The 19,974-nt window shown below is 43.9% G+C and overlaps 1 annotated feature.

Moving 5' to 3' along the window:
* Positions 10,676-11,875: an enhancer, noted in NCBI's record as "P300/CBP strongly-dependent group 1 enhancer chr21:39345582-39346781 (GRCh37/hg19 assembly coordinates)". NCBI's record gives its function as "activates an origin of replication core promoter dependent on BRD2, BRD4, P300/CBP, MED14 and CDK7 cofactors, with strong dependence on P300/CBP, by STARR-seq in HCT116 cells {active_cell/tissue: HCT116}" and the evidence as "EXISTENCE:reporter gene assay evidence [ECO:0000049][PMID:35650434]".

A 19,974-nucleotide genomic window follows, 5' to 3' on the forward strand; every position in this document is an offset into this window, starting at 1 on the left:
TACTAAAAAAATACAAAAATTAGCCGGGCATGGTGGCGCTAATCCCAGCTACTCGGGAGGCTGAGGCAGGAGAATTGCTTGAACCCGGGAGGTGGAGGTTGCAGTGAGCTGAGATCGTGCCACTGCACTCCAGCCTGGGTGACAGAGCGAGACTCCATCTCAAAAAAAAAAAAAAAAAAAAAAAAGTCTCCCTATTGACCACTAAGTAAAAGCAAGAGTAAAAATTGTCAGTGTACAGCAGAGGTTCTATACAATTCTTTGCCCCAGAGACCAAAATGAGCATCCTCATTGAACTGCCGTGGACACTGTGGCCTCTGATGTGATGCCCTGAGAAGGACAAATCTTCTCCATGTAGATTTCCATTCAGGGAGGTGGTACCTGAATCCAAGCACAAGGAAACATCAGAGACCACTTTGAGCAATTCTTTAGAAAATGAATGGCCTATAGTCTTCGAAAATGTCAATGTCATACTACGGAGAGGCTGAGGAAATAGTCCAGATTAAAAAGCCTGGGAACACAATAAATACATGCTATTCATGATCTTAAACTGGATCTTAAACTGGAGGGAAGATTTCTACACAGAGCATTTTTTGACTATTGGCAAATTGGAATACAGTCTGTGTTTAGACAAAAGATTTGATCAATGTTAAATTTCTTGAATTGTTACCTATGGTTTTCTTTTTTTATTTTTGCTTTATTTTATTTATTTATTTTTTAGATTTCCTTTTTTTTATTATACTTTAAGTTCTGGGGTACATGTGCAGAACTTGCAGTTTTGTATAGGTATACACTTGCCATGGTGGTTTGCTGCACCCATCAACCTATCACCTACATTAGGTATTTCTCCTAATGCTATCCCTCCGCTAGGCCCCCACCCCCCGACAGACCCCGGTGTGTGATGTTCCCCTCCCTGTGTCCCTGTGTTTTCATTGTTCGACTCCCACTTATGAGTGAGAACATGCGGTGTTTGGTTTTCTGTTCTTGTGTTAGTTTGCTGAGAATGATGGTTCACAAACAAGCAATGGGGAAAGGATTCCCTATTTAATAAATGGTGTTGGGAAGACCGGCTAGCCATATGCAGAAAACTGAAACTGGACCCCTTCCTTACGCCTTATACAAAAATTAACTGAAGATGGATTAAAGACTTAAATGTAAGACCCAAAACGATAAAAATCCTAGAAGAAAACCTAGGTTTTCTTTTTAAAGAGAATATCCTTGTTCTTAGGAAATATGGCTTGAAGTATTAAAAGGTAAAGAGGCATGATGTATGAAATTTACTCTCAAAACTTTCAGAGAAAACAAATTATGTGTGTGTGCATGTGTGTGTATACACAGTCATTTACCAATAGACTTTGAAGGAGAGAGAATATGAAAAATAAATGTGGGCAAATATTAAATATTGATAAATCTGAGTAAAACCTACATGGGAATAGTTTGTATTATTTTTGCAACTTTTTTTGTAAGTTCAAAATTACTGTGAAGTAAAAAGCTTTTAAAAATTGAGGAAAGATGCTAAGTAGTGATGAGTGAATGATGACCGGAAGCTTAGAGACCTCAGGCTCTGATTAAACCCCCAGATGAGGCTGGGCACAGTGGCTCATGCCTGTAATCCCAGCACTTTGGGAGGCCGAGGCAGGGGGATCACCTGAGGTCAGAAGTTTGAGACCAGCCTGGCCAACATGGTGAAACCCCACCTCTACTAAAAATACAAAGATTAGCCTGGCATGGTGGCACGTGTCTGTATTCCCAGCTACTCAGGAGGCTGAGGCAAGAGAATCGCTTGAACCTGGGAGGTGGAGGTTGCCGTGAGCCAAGATCATGCCATTGCACTCCAGCCTGAGTGACAGAGTGAGACTCCATAAAAAAAAAAAAAAGCCCCAGATGAAAATGGTGTAGCTATGGGGATAAGCTAGGCCCAGAGATGCTCACATGTGGTTTAGGGGGACAAAGGAAACATGAGGATATCCGTTTCTCTTTGGGTGCTGTGATTTGGACTATGCAGACTCCACTGGGGTGGCATGAGGAAGTATTGGTAAAATCTGGCTGTTCTTGAAATCGAGCTCCTTGGAAGATCGTGATAATCAAGTGAGAGATCACTGCCCCACCAAATTTGAGTACTTACAGTTGATCACACGAAATAAAAATGCCCAATTATGATTACTAAGGAAGAGATCCTATATTGCTGGAATTATTGTCTCCCCAGAGTCAAGCGCCAGTGCCAGGGTCAGAATGAGTACTGAACACCAGAAGACTTCCTATCCAAAGTATTTGCTGAGCTACTAGGCATCCAGGTGGTCAAGAGGACAATGAGCTAAACTGATAGTAGCAATCAAGCCTCTATCTGCTTACTATGACAGTGTGAGCAAGAGGCAGAAAAAGAAGTGCCAACCACCCCCCTCCCCGTGTTCCATTTCCCCCATGGAGCAGTGCCAGGTCAAGATCAGCATGGACCTGGGCAATAGGAAACTGCAGAGGAGTGCCAGTCTAAGGTCTACTGCCTCTTTATGGACACAGAGGCTGGGGAGAGAAGGGGGACAAGGATGTTCTTTAGCCATGGATCCTGATAAGGAGGTTATGGTAGAGGACCCTGGACTAGGAGTGCAGATATGTTCATGAGTTGGGCTGGCCAGGCAGGGCTCAAGTCCCTGACTGCAGCTCCCTCTGGGGACTGCAATACACTTGCTGTATACCAAGACTGCTGTGGGGAGGGCAACTTCCCTGGAGAGGCCTGCAAGGCAAAGCCTTGTCACTGCCTGTGGTCGGACCTGAAAGATCACACATGGGATTTGGGCCGGAGCTGGACTTCTTATGATTTTCGAGTAAGAAAACCTGGGCTGAGTTGGAGATTGCCCTCCTTCAGGTGCAGTGAGCTGAGCTTTCTTCTCGTAGGCACTTGCTTGGGATCTGGGACTGCTGTTGGAATTCTCCCAGCCAGATTTTCCCAGTCCATGAGATCAGTCTGCCCTTGCTGCCGGGGTGGGGTGGGGGTTGTCTGCAGGTGCCTTGTTAGCTGGTCAGCACGCTGCTGGCTGCGCGCTCCTCCTGGCTTCATTTTCCTCTTCTCCTGCTTTCAGCAGGACATAGCTGGTCGTGACACTTCAGGAAACCTGGCGTTTGTGTGCACTTCCTGAGCTGTTTAGCACCACTGCTCAGAACCCCTGGAGCTGGGACCACCACCTGCTCTTGTGGGTTCAAGCGCTCAGAGAGAGGGTTCTAAGGCTCTGGGCCAGTGCAGGTAGAAGGTGAAGATCCCAGCTTGGTAAAGCAGAGCGGCACATCCCGAGCATTTTCAAGATATATTTTAAATTCACTCCATCGCCTGTGAGCCAGTGAAGGAAAGGCAGACCCCAGCCGAGGGCAGAGGCAGAAACGTGATTTTAGAAATCATAAGGGTGGTGGGCAAGACCCACAAAAGGTCACAGGCCAATTACTGCTTTCGAGAGGAGGAAGGATGTCCTTGGGTAACTATTAAAATGCATGACACAATTAAAATATGGGGACACATGCGGCCTGTGTTAAAATTAGATTATCAATACTGCTTAGCAGCCTTGGAACCTCAGGCGAGGCACTGAAGCAGTTAGGGTTTCCTCTTCTGTAATTGAGTGATTTTAACTGTATCTCTCTCATAGGATTGTTGAGAGGATTAAAAGAGATGATGCTTATAAAAACATGAGACTGCTTGGACCTATTCTGAATGCTTAATGAGATCTAGCTGTGAAAATATGTGTCTACATACATATTTAATAAGCACACGCGCGCGCGCGCGCACACACACACACACACACACACACACACAGGAATGCTGTACTCCGTCACGTGGTGACCAATGGAACAAACCCTCTCTGTCCCGGACCTCCACCGCCCACGGCAGCTGAACTGGGCCCGGGGTCTTGACTCCTCACAGGCTTCCCCTCTCACTGGCTTCTCTTCTTGCCGCTCTTCTTTTCTCTTTGTCTTCTTTGTAGGTTTCTCAAATATCCCTTTTTCTCTTTGGTCCTTTTCTTATGTTAACCTCTTGCCTCCTTGGTGTCTACATTTATTCATTTAAGAGTCTAAAACAAGGTAAGAAGAAAACTAGTTTGTAACCTGAAAGTTCTTCTTTACTGCTGGAAACACCTGCCCTTGTTCAAATACAGCAACAGGACTTGGTTCACATGGAAGATAGGAGTTGGAAAAGGGTTTTCTAATTCACTCTTTGCTGGTGACTTGAGATCCCCACATCAATACACTGCTGAAAACAGAAGGAAGCATTAGCAGAAAGGGATGAGGGGTGCTGCTCTCCACCCAAGAGGATTCAGGCATGTTCCACAGCCCTCATCGGGATGCACAGGACTTGACACTGCACTGTCCACACCCCTGCCGCGGGAGGCTGAAGTGACTTCCTTCCACTCAGTTCCAGCGGGCTCTGCTCTAAGGCGTTTTCTCCAATCTCTCTTTCTGCACTGGGGATTTCTGAGCACAGAGAAAAGTTTCCACTCCTGGTAAATTTATGGAGAACTTGGTCCCATATGATAAGAAATGGAGCCTATTATAAGTTGATACTAACAAAAATGGGAGATTTTGTTGTTTCATAGGAAATGTTTGCAAGTCTAATGTCAGAATGTTCTGTGAGTGTTGCAATGTAGTAGAATAATGCACCCACATGCTTCTTGTTTTTTTTCCCTCATGACAAGTATGACATAAGATGCACTTAAATAAATCTGTGGATTTATTTGGAGAAAACATCCCACATGCTTGTTTATAAAAGCCATAAATAGGAAGACAGAATGCAGAAAGAAAGGAGACATGAAAGAAACCCTTATGACCCTTTGAATTCCAGTAACTCACTTCATGCATAAAAGGGAACTTATTTTTATTATTTTCTTCTATTCTTCTTCTTTCATTATTCTGAAACATGGGTGACAAAGAGTCCAATTTGATGGAATTTACTATAGTATAGAAATTTAAAATCTCCTAAATATCTTTCTTCTCTTCCTATTTACTCAGTCACCACCACAGCTAAAGAGCTAATTTTGGAGTTGACTAAATATGACATTTAGTTCAAAATGATAACTTGGACATCCACAGTTCTTGTTGTTGCAGTATAACACCAAGTGCAGCACCTATTATTCACAGTACTGTGCAAGGAAACCAATTATTCTGCAGCATATAAACCCATGTTCAATATCTTCATAGGAATGTCATTTCACATCTAGTGATTTTCCAATGCAGTCATGTTAACCTCAAAGGCTTATGTTTGGGAATGTGTTTGAGGCTTAGCAGCTATCATTTTCTTGAAAGTGCTGATTTTTTTTTCCATTGCCTTACTTAAAGTATGTTCCAGAGCCCTGCTCATAATTTTTGACTTCCTGAATGTCTTCTCTGAAACTGGCCTGTTCTTCCTCACACATTTACTGTGGACTGTGCACGGTAGCTGATCAATTAGGACTTTACTGAATGGCTGGGATGGGAATGTCCAGCACCCCATGTGCTAGGGTGACTTTCCAGACACTAAATATCTGCTCAGGAGCCAATCAGCTATAGCCAGAAGTTGGGAGGGCATCCTGCATCTCCCAGCTCTCCCCACCAATTCCTGTTGTCCTTAACATGGATGACACCTGAGTGTATTGGACATGGGACTGGGTGAGAAAAGGAGGTCAGATTTCAACTCAAGTCTAAATAGCTGGCCTGGAAGGAAGTATGACAACTCTGTGTTAACCTTTTTACATTTATATTTATTACTCAAAAAACTTATGAGTAAGTTTTTGTTATTACAATAAGAAGACTTCAGACAAACCTGAGATGGAGAACCAGATAATACAGACAGCTGGAAGAACCAGGCAAGAGTCTGGGGCAGCTCACAGGAGGGATGATGCTACCTCAACTCTGCAGCATCTGGGATCGCCAGCCAAAGGGTCGGAGAACTGCCAGGGAGAAGGTGTGAGTGATGAGGCCCTGGCGGTGAGCTCCAATTCCAGGGCTGGGGTGGTCCATTGTAGGTGGCTCCTAGGATGGGCTAGGGGCTGCTTCCAACAGTGCCCTTGACCAGTGCAAGTGTAGGTGGTAAAATCAGCAGCCAATTGGTTCACCCAAGGAGCAGCTAGGATTCCAAGGTTGTGCATACACCCTCAGTGGGTGGTGGGCGTAGAACTTCCCAGGCCTTCTCTGCACCTCTAACAGTTATGCTATCAATACTATTTGAAGAGGATGACCCAACTCCTTTCTGATCAAGATAAATATTTCTAAATATTGTGTTTGTGTAAGTGTTTTTTAATTTCTGCCTTGTCTAGGGAAGGGATGATGTGCTTGTAGCATGACATCCCCATTCTTCCAGTCAACTGAACGGCATCAATAAGTGGTGATGTCACTCTAACTGAGCCTTAGAGTCCTTCTCAGCATAAAGCTGGGCAGTCCCTTCCTGTTGATTGTAATAAAACCCACTTGCTACCTCTTGGCCTAGAGAATGTAATGATATGATTTGAATAGCTAGATACTGACCTTTCCAAAACGTTGGCTTACAACAGCTTCTTGGATTGTAGTATTTTAACAGTAACTTGTCGGTAGATATTTTGTCACTGATGTGGGCATAGTTTGTTGCAGCCTACTATGCTACTATTACTGCTTGTATTTTTTCTCAGCACACACTTTGTTTCCATAGCAGTTCTCATTTTCCACGTGACAAAGGCCATGGAGCTGGCCGTGTGTGTACAACACAGGTCAGAGAGCTCCCGTTTTGCTTCTGTGAGTGTAGATGGGATGGCCCACTTCATCCTGAGGCCTTTCTCCAGTGTTGTGCTGTGAGACCCAGTGGGTCCTCTTGCCTTCAATGTCTTTGTCCTTGCACTCAAGCAGAGAAGAGTTAAAATAAAACTATAATGCCTATTAAGAATCAGCATTCCTATTTTGGTCATTCTGCTAACCGCTTGACACCCATCCTCCCATTTATTCTTCACAGTAACCTTGCCAGATAGGTAGTAGTAACATCTTCACTTAACAGATGGAGAAACTGAGGCTTAGAGAGGTTAAACAATATTCCCAGAGTTACACAATAGAGAGCAGAGGCAGGGCTGGAATCTAGATCCATTTGATTTCAATATCCATAATTGTACCACGTTCTTAGGCCCAGGGTTTTTGAAAAGCCCATCTTGGGCTCTGAGAGGAGAATAAGTAATGCCATAGTTTGTGTGATGAATCCATTAGGGAACCTGCTCTCCATGAGTTTTCCTGGGACTCCCAGAAGCAAGGTGGCCCAAGGATGGTCCAGGGCATCACCTATTGGCTGGGCTAGAACTCATACAAACAGACTCAACCAGAACTAGAGGGTGGTGAGTTTTGTGTGATAGAGGCGTAGAATGCAGCAGACACTGAGCATTGGAAACTTCTGGCTGCTGGCCTGTGTGATGCATGTTTACTTTGCTTTTTTTTTTTTTTTTTAATGACAAAGGAACATGCTTTTGTTTGTTTTAGGAGAAGAGGGATTGAAGGAACCAAGGGTAGCTGTGGAGGAAATTAAGAAACTTGAGGCTAGATGGAGCCTCGGCTGGGTTTTGGAGTTCAAGAGGTTAACAGGACTGAGTTTAGGTAAATTTGTCCTCTCCATTTTGCTTGAAATATTGTGTTGTGTGTGTGTGTGTGTGTGTGTGTGTGTGTGTGTGTGGTGTGTGTGTGTGTGAATGTTAGAAAAATAAATGTAAAGTTACCAGTGTTAATGTTCATAATAAAAGTTAATAACTGTGAGGCTTTAATGGTCCAGGCTCACTTTTATTATTAACATCAATTTAACACTCTCAGAGAAGTTATTAGACTCTAACCTCCCCTGTCATTGCTCTCGAAATAGGAATAAATGCCATTTTCCTCTGGTTGTTAATTCAGCTTTTAGAAACAGAACATCGGCAAGAGCCTGCCTGTAAACAATCCCAAATATATGTGATCACTGCCTCAGCTAGAAAAAAATAAATATTAATGAGACCATGTCCTGGCCAGTGGTACAAATGCCACGGGCTTCAGGCAGAATTACTATGAATGATCTGAATCATAAGCTTGTGTTGGAAACAAATAATTTTACTCCAAACCTCATCATAGAGATTGCGAGGAGCATTCTTCATTTTCTTTTGCACGTGTTGACAGCCTGATTAAGAGCTTTGGGCACTTGCCATAGTTCCCCATTTGAGAGTGATCCGTGCCTGTCTCCTGGGGTGTTTCCTTGGTCTGGCAGCATGGGGTTGCTATGTCCCTGGGACTGGCAGAACTCTCAGGGAAAAGCAACTTTTAAACCATCCAGATTTTGCTATCACCCCTGAGCTTTGGAAAAGTCTTTCAGTGTGAGCTGGACTGGGAACCTCTTTCATCCTCACCCCATCACCCCATGGTACCCGGGAATATCTGCTAATGTGTAGTTTGGTGACCTCAGACTAGTATACTAGGTGCTGGTCAAAAATGAGGAGTGGCATGCTTCTTCTGGGCTATGCCCGATTACTTTTAAGCTTAATCTGTTGAAAACACTGGTAGAATTTCTAGGATACCAAGATTCTTGGCAAGCTTGGGAATGTTTTCTTGCTGCCTCTTACTCCTCTACTCCAAATGGTATTACTCGAGCAGATGTGGCAACATTAATTTGAGGCCCCTACTTGAGTGCTTTACTTTTCAGGTGTGATAGGATATGAGTAGCCTTCCTATAGTTTGGAGTGGTGGATGTAGATGGTTTTGCCCAGTAGTGGGTGTTGCTTCAAATGGGAAGTGTCCTGATTCTGGTTTTTACTTCCTTGGGGCTAAGGTGTTAAACTCGATCTCATAGTTCCATTTCATCCCTTGAGAAGGCTCACTGCAGAGCCTTCTCTGTCCTACGAGATGCTCTGTAGTATTAAAGAAAAACCTCAGCACCTTTGCCTTAAGCATCATTGAAGTGTTACATGCTTTTCGTGTATCAGAGCATGTAAATTACCTTCCAGGGAAAGGACTCATATCTCAGGGTCACTTCAGTACAACAGTGACAATTTGCTGATTACAGCAGTTTCCCCGAAGAAAGAGGGAAGCCATCACTATTTGTGTAGCAAAGATTAGAAAGCTTGAGAATCATAAAGGCAATTCGGCCCAGGATCTCCTGGCATGCCATGTCAGCTTATTTATTAGTCAGGGTCCTCCGGGAAGCATGTGTTGAGATGGGATTAAACTTGCCTGCATTTTGTTAGGAGAAACTATCACATGAGGGAAGATAAAGAGGGAACCAGGGAAGGCCAGGAGGGCCATTAAGCCTTGATGCAAATCTGACTCCATGTCAAGAGAGAAGGAGGGGAGGCTGAGAGAAGGCACGTTGGACTGCCTGCTGCAGTCTCTGGAGGGTCCTCAGGGTGTTGGGGGCCCCTGTGTCTGCCTTAGTGACCTAAAACAGTCATTCGCTGGGAGCAGCCCTGGGGATGCAAGTCCTCCTGCAAATGCAGCTATGATGGATTTCAAAGCACCACATCTTGAGCCCTCAGTGGGTGGTGTTCTCTGTAGTTGGAGTCTGCCAGGTGTGTTCCAGAGGCTGCCACAGTGCACTTTTCTTAAACTAGAGAATGTTCCTCCATTAAATACCTGCTTTGTGCCAGACAATGGCTATATTCTGGCATCACGGAGGGCGGCCAGAGGGAAATGAGAGGAGACCCTGTGCTCTGCAATGCAGAGGCGTCTCCCTGAGCAGCCTCCCTCTATGGACGGGCATTTCACAGACTTCTCCACCAGGAAGCAGCAGGGTGATAGTGCCCAGGTCCACAGGCCACAAAGCCCATTGGTATTGTCAGGTCCTGTGCTTCACTGCATATGGGTCAAGACCACAGATGGTGGCGGCTACCTCCAGCTCCCATCACTCAGGACATGGCAGGCCCTTGCCCTTTCCCCTCCACAGCGTCGTTCTCATCTTCCTTTGACAAGGCACCTGCAGGTATTCTCTCTCCTGTTCCCCTGCCAAGCTTGCAACAGGCGGGGATGGACTCTCACACCTCTGTGTAGTGAAAATGAGAATTCCCATTTGTCATTCTGATTTTGTCCAATGGCCTTTCTAGTGTCTCCTGGTCTCTCCTCTGCTTAGTGAGGGGTCCTCATGCTTCTTGAGAGATGGCAGCTAATGTGGGTGCCCGAGTCAGGCTGCTAACTGTTGGCTGCATGATTTATTTGGGGTAAGTTATCTAAGTTCTCTGTGCCTCAATCCCTTATTTGTAAGAAAGATAACAATGTCTGTTGCTAACACTTACGACTGTTTTGAGGATTAAATGTGATAATACAAGCAAGCTTTTAGCATAGTGCTCAATAAATAGCAGTTATTATTAGATTGAACCCCACAGAATTACCATTTTTCTAAGTCAAGAAATTTAAATTTTGGCAGTTTCATGAGGTTTAACCAAAAACTATGGGTGGGCAAAACTTTTTGGTTTGGAAACCTCCTTACCCTCTGTGGGGTACTTGGTAGAGCAGCTGAGGTGAGCCACTTTTGCCTTCCTATCAGGACCTGGCACGTCACCCTCCCAAACTGGAAGAGAAGGCAGGTAGCTATTAGGTGGGAACAAAGACGTTGGTTCCATCACACCTGTGTTCACCTCTTCTTCATACCAATCAGTGTTCACAAGGGTGACCTTGGCCTGAAGACAGCCTCCTTGAGTGTGTGCTCGACCCATGAGAGGAGAAGGCCCTCTCCCTATTCACAGACCAAAATAAGCCACATCAGGATGGCTACTTCCATGTTAGAAATCACCATTGATCCATGTATTTGTCTGGGTTCTCCAGAGAAAAATAATCAATAGGATATATATATACACACACACATATAAAGAGACACATGCACACATATATGTATATACACACACACACACAAACACACATACAAAGAGAACGCGAGAAAGAAAGATATTTATACAGAGGCATTGACTCACGTGATTGTGGAGGCTGAGACATTTTGTAATCTGCCCTCCGCAGGCCAGAGGCCCAGGGAGGCCAGTGATGTAAGTTCCAATCCAAGCCCAAAGGCCTGAGAACCAGGGAGCCAGTGCTGTGATTCCCACCAATCAGGTCTGAAAACTAGAAAGGTCAATGGTGCAAGACCTGGTCTGGGTCTGAGGGCAGGGGACTTATGTCCTAGCTCAAGCAGTTAGACAGAGAAAGGGAGAGAGAGAATCCCCCTTTCCTCCACTTTTTTGTGCTATCCAGGCCTGCAGCAGATGGGATAATGCTGACCCACATTGAAGAGGGCCATCTGCTTCACTCAGCTCATGAATTCAAATGCTAATTTCTTCCAGAGACACCCTCACAGACACACCTAGAAATAATGTTTAGCCAGATATCTGGGCATCTCGTGACCCAGTCAAATTGATATATAACTAACCACCACAGTCCAGGTAGACTTACCTAAGGTGAGTTTGATTTAGTTAAGAGCCTATCTTTGTGCCTTCTGGGAGACCATGGGAACCCTTCAACGCTGGCTATGGAGAGAGGTGCTCCTTCTGCTACCAGGCTCAGGTAGGTACAGCGCAGGCCCTACAAAGTGAGGGAGGAGCGGTCCTGAAACGGTGGCCTGAGATCCCCATTCTCACCTCTGCTGAGTTGCCTCATGTCACAGGTACTCCTCGAGGTCAAGACATTTACCACCCACAGCCACTGTTAAACCACTAATATGCGGTGATTCATGTTTTTACGTAGGTGACAGTTTAGTGTTATGGGGAAAAGCATTGGATTTGGAGTGTGGAATTAGTCATTCCTGACCTGGCTGGGTGGCTGTGTGTAAGCATTTTCTCTCCCTGGAGCCTCATCCATAGCAAGAGGGTTTTGCAGCAAAGTTAAGATGGCAAATACGTCTTCTCTCCCAAACCATCCCTGACCAGTAAACATCAACTCCCTGGAGACTGGAAGGCCCTGGACAGCACCATCTTCTCCAGAAAAGCCAGTGATGTAGGTACCAATCCAAGCTCAAAGACTTAAGAACCAGGGAGCCAGTGCTGTAATTCCCAGCATAGGAGGCCCAGAACCAGAAAGGTCAGTGGTGCAAGTCCCGGTCTGGGTCTGAGGGCAGGAGATGTATGTCCTAGCTCAAGCAGTTAGGCAGAGAAAGAGAGAATCCCCCTTTCCTCCACTTTTTTGTGCCGTTCATGCCTGCAGGAGGTGGGATGAGAAGTACACCTTTTCTCCCAAACCATCTCTGACCAATGAGCATCAACTCTGATATTGTTTGGCTGTGTCCCCACCAAAATCTCATCTTGAATTGTAGCCTCCATAATTCCTACATGTGATGGGAGGGACATGATGGGAGGTAATTAAATCCTGGGGCCCGGTCTTTCCATGCTGTTCTCATAAGAGTGAATAAGTCTCATGTGATATGACGGTTTTATAAAGGGGAGTTCCCCTGCACATTCCCCCTTGCCTGCCGTCATGTAAGACATCCTTTTGCTCTTCCTTCATCTTCCACCACGGTTGTGAGGCCTCCCCAGCCATGTGGAACTGTGAGTCCGTTAAACCTCTTTCCTTTATAAATTACTCAGTCTCAGGTATGGCTTTATTAGCAGCATGAGAACAGACCAATACAAACTCCTTGGAGACTGGGAGGGTCTGCACAGCACCATCCTAGTGCACAGGTTCTACCCAGGACACTGACAAATCCTAAGAGGAGGGAAAAAACAAGGCCCTTGGGACACAGCTTTAAAAAAAAGAGTCCTATTTTCTGTCATTGCCAAAGGAAAAGGGGCTCTCTGCAGCAGGAGATAGAGCCTTCCCCCTCTCATTCCCTTCACCATTCTGTTCTCTTGAGCCATGAAGCAAAACCACCTGTAGCCAACATTGAAGCCACTGCTCCATCTACACTTTCATCACTTTCATATATTGTCCCCTGTCTTTGTCATTCCACCTCTCTCCCTCACTGCTATTGCCTCCTTCATGTTACTTACTCCTGATTTTCCTTCAACGTTCCTGACCATTTCTAGTCACTTTCTTTTGGCTTCTTTATCTCTAATTACTCCTATATCTCCCAGGCTGAATTTTACACAGAGGACAATTACATACTTCCAGAATTACTCTCATCAGTGTCCTCCCATTCATGAACAGAGCATATGGCCATTATTACTACCCCATGAGGTTCAGCTGTTAGTTAGCAGTTATGTAAAAAAATTAAAGAGTTGCACTGGAGTAATGTCAGTTGAGTTCACCCTTTCTTTCACTTTTCATTGTGTCATGGAATTGGAAGTAACTTTGAAGTTTATCTGGTCCAATTCCTGTCATTAAGTTGAAACTTAAGGAGTCTGGTGGCTGGGCATGGTGGCAGGTACCTATAATCCTGCACTTTGGTAAGCTGAGGTGGGAGGATCACTTGATGTTAGGAGTTTGAGACCAGCCTGGGCAACATAGCAAGACCCTGACTCTACAGGAAAAAAAAAAAAGAGTCTAGTGATTTGTCAAAGGTCCATCTGCTTATTTAGTGGTTGAGATAGGATTATTTAACCTAAGTTTAAACTCCCAGCTAATTTTTTTTCTATTTTAATTCCAAAACCAATATCCAATATGAAATCACATCATGGACATCTCAAAACAAACTTTCCTTTAGTTTTCAGGGGTAATTTCACTGGGAAACATAAATTACACGTGGAGCAGGCAGCCTTGTTTGTGAATTAATTAATTTTTTTTTTTTTTTTTTTTTTTTTTTTGAGATGGAGTCTCGCTCTGTCGCCCAGGCTGGAGTGCAGTGGCGCGATCTCGGCTCACTGCAAGCTCCGCCTCCTGGATTCACGCCATTCTCCTGCCTCAGCCTCCCCAGTAGCTGGAACTACAGGCGCCGGCCACCACGCCTGGCTAATTTTTTCGTATTTTTAGTAGAGACGGGGTTTCACCGTGTTAGCCAGGATGGTCTCGATCTCCTGACCTCATGATCTGCCCATTTTGGCCTTCCAAAATGCTGGGATTACAGGCGTGAGCCACCGTGCCCGGCCTATTTGTGAATTAATTTTGCAGTCACGGTAAGAGTCCCTGAACTTAAGCTTTGAGCTTTTGAAAACTCTGGAAATTGATTTCAAGTTTTATTGTCTTTGTTTCCAAAACGGTGGATTAGAAGCATGCTGCCCTTTCCCACCTACTCTATAATCCCTAAAAGGTTGAGAGCAGATGGGACACGATGGAAGAGGGATGCCACAAGCCAAGAGATGGCCATGCATACACGTCCATAGATGTTAGCAGCATACAGGGTCCTCCTTATCTGAGATGGAAGAAGTCGGGGCAGGCAGAGTCCAGGGGAAACCTAAGGGGTGGTTTGCTGGGGAATGACCATGGTGGTCATCAGCCAGATTCACTCCATTATGTCTCCCCTTCCTGAGACATTTGATCTCTAACAATGTTAGAGAGCGACAACAGGCTCAATAAATGGAAAATCATCTGCTTGAGGAAATGGAATTAATAGAACAATCAGGATGTATAATTAATACATCAAATAAGTAAGTTTTAAAAAATAAAGTAGACATCTTAAGAATGACTGCTAGACTGAGCCAGCAATATTTTTAACAAGCGCTGTCTGATACCTAGAAAATAAAACCAGATTCTTTTAGCTTAAGGAAAACAAAACAAAATGAAGGAAAGCAAAGCAAAATAGTTGATTTTGGGGGGTGGGAGGGGATTTTACCATCTCATTCATTTATTCATTCAACTCATATGTCGAGCACACTATTGTAGGTGCTGGAATACAGCAAAGAAATAAGAGAAATGTGGTCCCTGTTGTCATGGAGCTTAGAGCTGGAGAATGAAAGGAGAGAGTAAAAAGAGTTAATCAATGAAGCAACAGTGAAATATTGATAGTGGCATCTGTAGAGACTGAAGTAGAGAGATGCAATAGAGAAGAACTATGATGCCTACTCTAAATTGGTCAGGAAATGTAAGTGACATTTGAAGATGAAGAAGAAACCAACCATGTGAAGGTGAAAAAAGAGGAGGAACCATAACGCTGGGGCTTGGAACCTATGGGAGAAGGGAGGAAGGTTATAACATTAGGCTGGAAAGACTGATCGGGGTGAGATCATGGGGGGCTTTGTGAAATGAGAGAGCTCATTATATCATCCTCAGTAAGTTGTCATTACACCACTGTGTTTTTGACACACATCAGTGTGAAATTACTGTTGTAAAAAAGGCTAACCTGGGTGGCAATAAAACTCATCATAGGCCACAGACAATTTGAAGGAATTAATTTGCAGGATTGGTTAAGGGAAGAACACTACTAGATGAGAACAGAAGGCCCTCTTAATTTATTTAAAGAACAAATGGCAGCTTAAGGTAAAAGCAAAATATATGACCACAGTAGCAAAATTAGAAACTACTACTTATTGATAAATACTATTAAGGAAATGCAAAGGCAAACTGCAGACTCTGAGAAAGTATTAGCAACACATATACTTGACAAAGGCTTTGTACCCAGAGCACATAAAGAACTCCTACAAATCAATATGGAAAAAGCCACAATCCAATAAAAAAATGGAGCAAAATTCTTAACAGAAACTCCACAAAAGAAGATACAGGAATAGCCAATAGGAATATGAAAAGATGCTCAACAACATTAGTCACTAGGAAAATGCAAATTAAAACCACAAGATGCAATTTCACACCCTCTAGAATTAGCTAAAATTAAAAAGATTGATAACATCAAATGTTTGTGAGGATGCAGAGCAACTGCAACTCTCATACACAGCTGATGGTAGCCTAAGATGACACAACCACTTTGGAAACTGTTTGACAGCTTTTCACAAAGTTAACTATATACCTCCTCCTCCTTCTTCTTCTTCTTTGTTTTTTTTTTGTGTGTGTTTTTGTTTTGTTTTGTTTTTTGAGGCAGAGTTTCCCTCTGTCACTCAGGCTGGAGTACAGTGGCATGGTCATGGGTCACTGCAGCCTCTACCTCCCCAGGCTCAGGTGATCCTCCCATGTCAGCCTCCCAAGTAGCCGGGACTAAACACGTGCACCGCCATGCCTGGCTAATTTTTGTATTTTTTGTAGAGACTGGGTTTCGTCACGTTGCCCAGGCTGGTCTTGAACACCTGGGCTCGAGCAGTCCTCCTGCTGTGGCCTCACAAAGTGCTGGGATTACAGACATGAGCCACTGCACCTGGTCTATACACCTTCTTAATGACCTATCTATTCTATTCCAAGGTATAGCCCAAGACAAATGAAAATGAAAATATTTGTCCACAAAATGTCTTGCATAAGAATATTTATAGGAGGTTACTCATGCCAGTCAAACACTGAAAATAATCCGTGTAATCATTGAAGGGAAAATTACTAAAAATTTAATTAATAAAGGGAAAATTGTGGTATACACACAAAAGTGTTTGTCACTGATACAGGTAACAGCATAAGAGAATCCATAAAACATTGCGTTGCGTATAAAGAAGCTAGTCACAAAGAATATACACAGCATAATTTAATTGATGTGACAGGAAAGAACAGGCAACACTAACTTAGGCTGATAGAAATCAGAACAATGGTTGCTCTTGGGAGTGGGGACTCAGTAGAGGTTTCTGAGTGATGGAAAAGCTTTCCACCTTGATGATCTTAATCATGGTGGGAGTTGTGTGGGTGCATACATCTTTCAAAATTCACCAAACTATATACTTAAGATATGTGCCTTTTACTGTTTGCCAATTTTGCTCCAATTAGAAAAGTTGGGGAGGTATAGGAGGAAAGAGATTAGCAACAATGAGAATAGTTTGCTCCTTGAAGGAGTTTTACTTGGAAGGGAAAAGGGAAAAGGAATGGTAGAATGGTGACTGGAGGGGAAGGAAGGTTCAGAGTTTTGTTTGTTTGCCTGTTTCTTAGACGGGAGAGGTAATAGCATGTATGTTTGCTGATGAGAAAGATTAGCAACAGAGAGAAAAAATAAATGGTTCAGGAGAAAGTGAGCAGATGTACAAGAGGGAGGTCCTTGACTAGGGAGGAGGGAAGGGATCAGGAATGCAAGTAGGGCACTGGCCTTTGCTAGGCATTGGGAAGGGTTCCTCTGGAATAAGAGAGATGGCATTCTAAATGGGCACTGATGCAGGATTACTATCCAATCATTTAAAATGAGGCCAGTTTGCAACACTGAGTTTTCCTCCACTCTTATGCAGCCCTGCCAGTGTAGGTGGGCAATGAGCGTAGACTTGGGTTTTAATAGTGTTTTGGTTTTGCCAAGTTAGCAATACTAAGTTAGAAGGGGAGAGGGAAATTGATGAAGTTATTATCTTGATTGACCATAGACTGCAAGTTGGCTTAAGATGTTGGTAAGGACGAAACGATGGTAAGGGATAGGAAAAAGTAGAATTTGCGTGGTTGATCCTGTTGGTGCTGAAGAAGTCGGAACTGAGTTAGTGCAAGAAAGATGTTGGGAAATGTGAGGTAGTGCTGGGAAAGTGAAATGCCTGAAACCAAACAAAATAAAATGATTGAGGATGACAAGGTCTAGGAAGGAAGAGGTTGAGAGAAAGTGAAGGTAAAATCTTTGCAAGAGAGGAGGTCAGGGAATGGAGAAGACAGAATACTGGAAGATTTATCTCATGGATATTGAAACCTCGAATTGTTGATATCCTCAGTAGTGTTGATGAACATGTCAGTAAACTAGGAGCTAAATCTCCAAGGAATGAGCGGCAGTGAATGGGAGTCGGTCAAGGATGATGACCAGCAGGGCAGGAAAGTGGTGTATTCTGATGACGTGAAACTCAGTGCTGGTGTTTTGATGGAGGGAAAGAAAGTCTGCTCTGGAGGGAGAGAGGGAACACTGTGTCAAATGCTGCAGAGAGATCACACTTGCCTCCAGGCCAGGGCTGCAGAAGAGAAGACACTACCAGCAAAGCTGCAAGAAGAGTACACAGAAGAAAATGAATGATCTACATGTACTGATGTAGAAAGACGTTAGAGACATACTGTTAAATGGGGGAAAAGCAAGTTACAAAATGGTTCTGTCTGCATGAATTGTTTGGTCAGTTACAAATGAGTGGAAAATTAATGGTAAGTCTCCAAACTATAATTGCAGTCATCTCTGCATGGCAGCAATGGGGGGAACTTTTATGTCTGATTTTCCCACATTTTGCTATACCTAACAGGACAGAGTGAGTGCCCATTCTGGACCAGAGTGACTAGATTATATTCTCACACCTGCCATCTGAATGGTCATGGCCAAATTCTGAGCTTCCCTAAATCTCAGTTGTTTCATCTATAAATTAGGAATAAGTAATATCTACTTATGTTAATTGTGAGGGTGATGTAAGAAATCATGTGAAATATCACAATACGACACTTAGAAGGTAAAAGATAAAAGAACAATTGTTATCCTTACTATTGTATTTTATATAACAGGCATAGATTGCTTTTCTATTTAGAAAAAAAAAAAAAAAACCGGGATTTTTTTTTAAAGGAACTTAGTTAGAACACAGGCCCAGAGGAATGATCACCCCCAGTTCCACACACAAATAACTAGAATTAATAAAAGAACAAATGGGATGGGTGACGGTGGTGGAGAGCTGATGGATTCCTCTGAATAGTAATTGATTTGAATCTAAAACCAATGAACAGATTCTTATCACTTCACAGGGAGCCAGCGAGCCAGCTGTTTTTCAAGACGGTGTTTTATTTTGACTTTCATACACTCCTCGTGTATCTTGTCTGCAGAAAGTTATCTCTTGTGCTGTGGGAAGTAGGGGCCCTGAGCTCCTCGACCTGCTGACCCCCTCCCTGCGAAATAACCAGGTGTGTGGCAGGATTCTCAACCATGCAGAGGAGATGGGTGCTGAAGTGAGGGCCAAAATGTGGAAACTCTTTTTTTTTTTTTTTTTTTTTGAGACGGAGTCTCGCTCTGTCGCCCAGGCTGGAGTGCAGTGGCGCGATCTCGGCTCACTGCAAGCTCCGCCTCCCGGGTTCACACCATTCTCCTGCCTCAGCCTCCCGAGTAGCTGGGACTACAGGCACCCGCCACCACGCCCGGCTAATTTTTTGTATTTTTTAAGTAGAGACGGGGTTTCACCATGTTAGCCAGGATGGTCTCAATCTCCTGACCTCGTGATCCGCCCGCCTCGGCCTCCCAAAGTGCTGGGATTACAGGTGTGAGCCAGCGCGCCTGGCCAAATGTGGAAACTCTTATCCTTAGATTCCACCTGGTTGCAAGAGGGGCCAAAGAAAGGCATCTTGGCGGCTAAGCAGGAGTCGAGGTGAAATCATTGATGGAACAGACTAAGCTATACTGATATTTAGACCCAAGTTCGTTAAACAACAACAAGATGCTTGCTTTTCAGCCCCACCTTTTGACTTCCTAAAATAAGAAAAGAATCCCTTTCCATTTTCCATTTCAAACCACAGTGAGTAATGGCATCTTTGAGCGCTGGGGCCTAGAGGAAATTCTATTTGTGGGATAAATTAGGAATATTAAAGAACTCTCACCTCTGGGGTACTGAATCAAAATTTCAATTGTGTACTCAAGCTTAAAGCTTTAGACCTAGGCAAACCCCTCCCAACCCCGTCTTTGTCGTTTCCCCCTTGTGGGAAGTCTGGTCTGTGGTCGTTGTCTTTGAATCATGCAAATTAGGAGAGCATGTGTGAAGTCCTTTTATAATTTAGATTCTGTGCATGTAGCTCATTGGCCATCAGGAAGGGTATCTCAATTCAGATGGTCACTTGGGAGGGGGGCTGGATGGAAAAGAGAAATTCTCAATATATGAAAATGGTTTGAAATAGTAATTTCCCTCAAAATTCTCTTTCTCTACTTGTATGTCTGTCCTCTACAATGGAGCAGACCCGTAATCCCCAATCACTCCCATAACTCACCTTCCTGGGGCTGTGGCATGTGCAGTGGTGTGTTGTTTATACAGCCTGTGTGTTTGTACTGTGCTGTCCCACATGGAGGCCTCCATCTGAATACAAGGGCTGTGAGCATTTAACCTGGCGCAGGGTATAGTACACCTGGCTCGTGGATTTTGAATAAAAGTCTCTCATCACTCTTTCTGATTTACACTTAGAAGCCATTTTTCTTAAGCCCTTTAT

This window comes from Homo sapiens, chromosome 21, assembly GCF_000001405.40.
Source record: "Homo sapiens chromosome 21, GRCh38.p14 Primary Assembly".
Taxonomy (NCBI): Eukaryota; Metazoa; Chordata; class Mammalia; order Primates; family Hominidae; genus Homo; species Homo sapiens.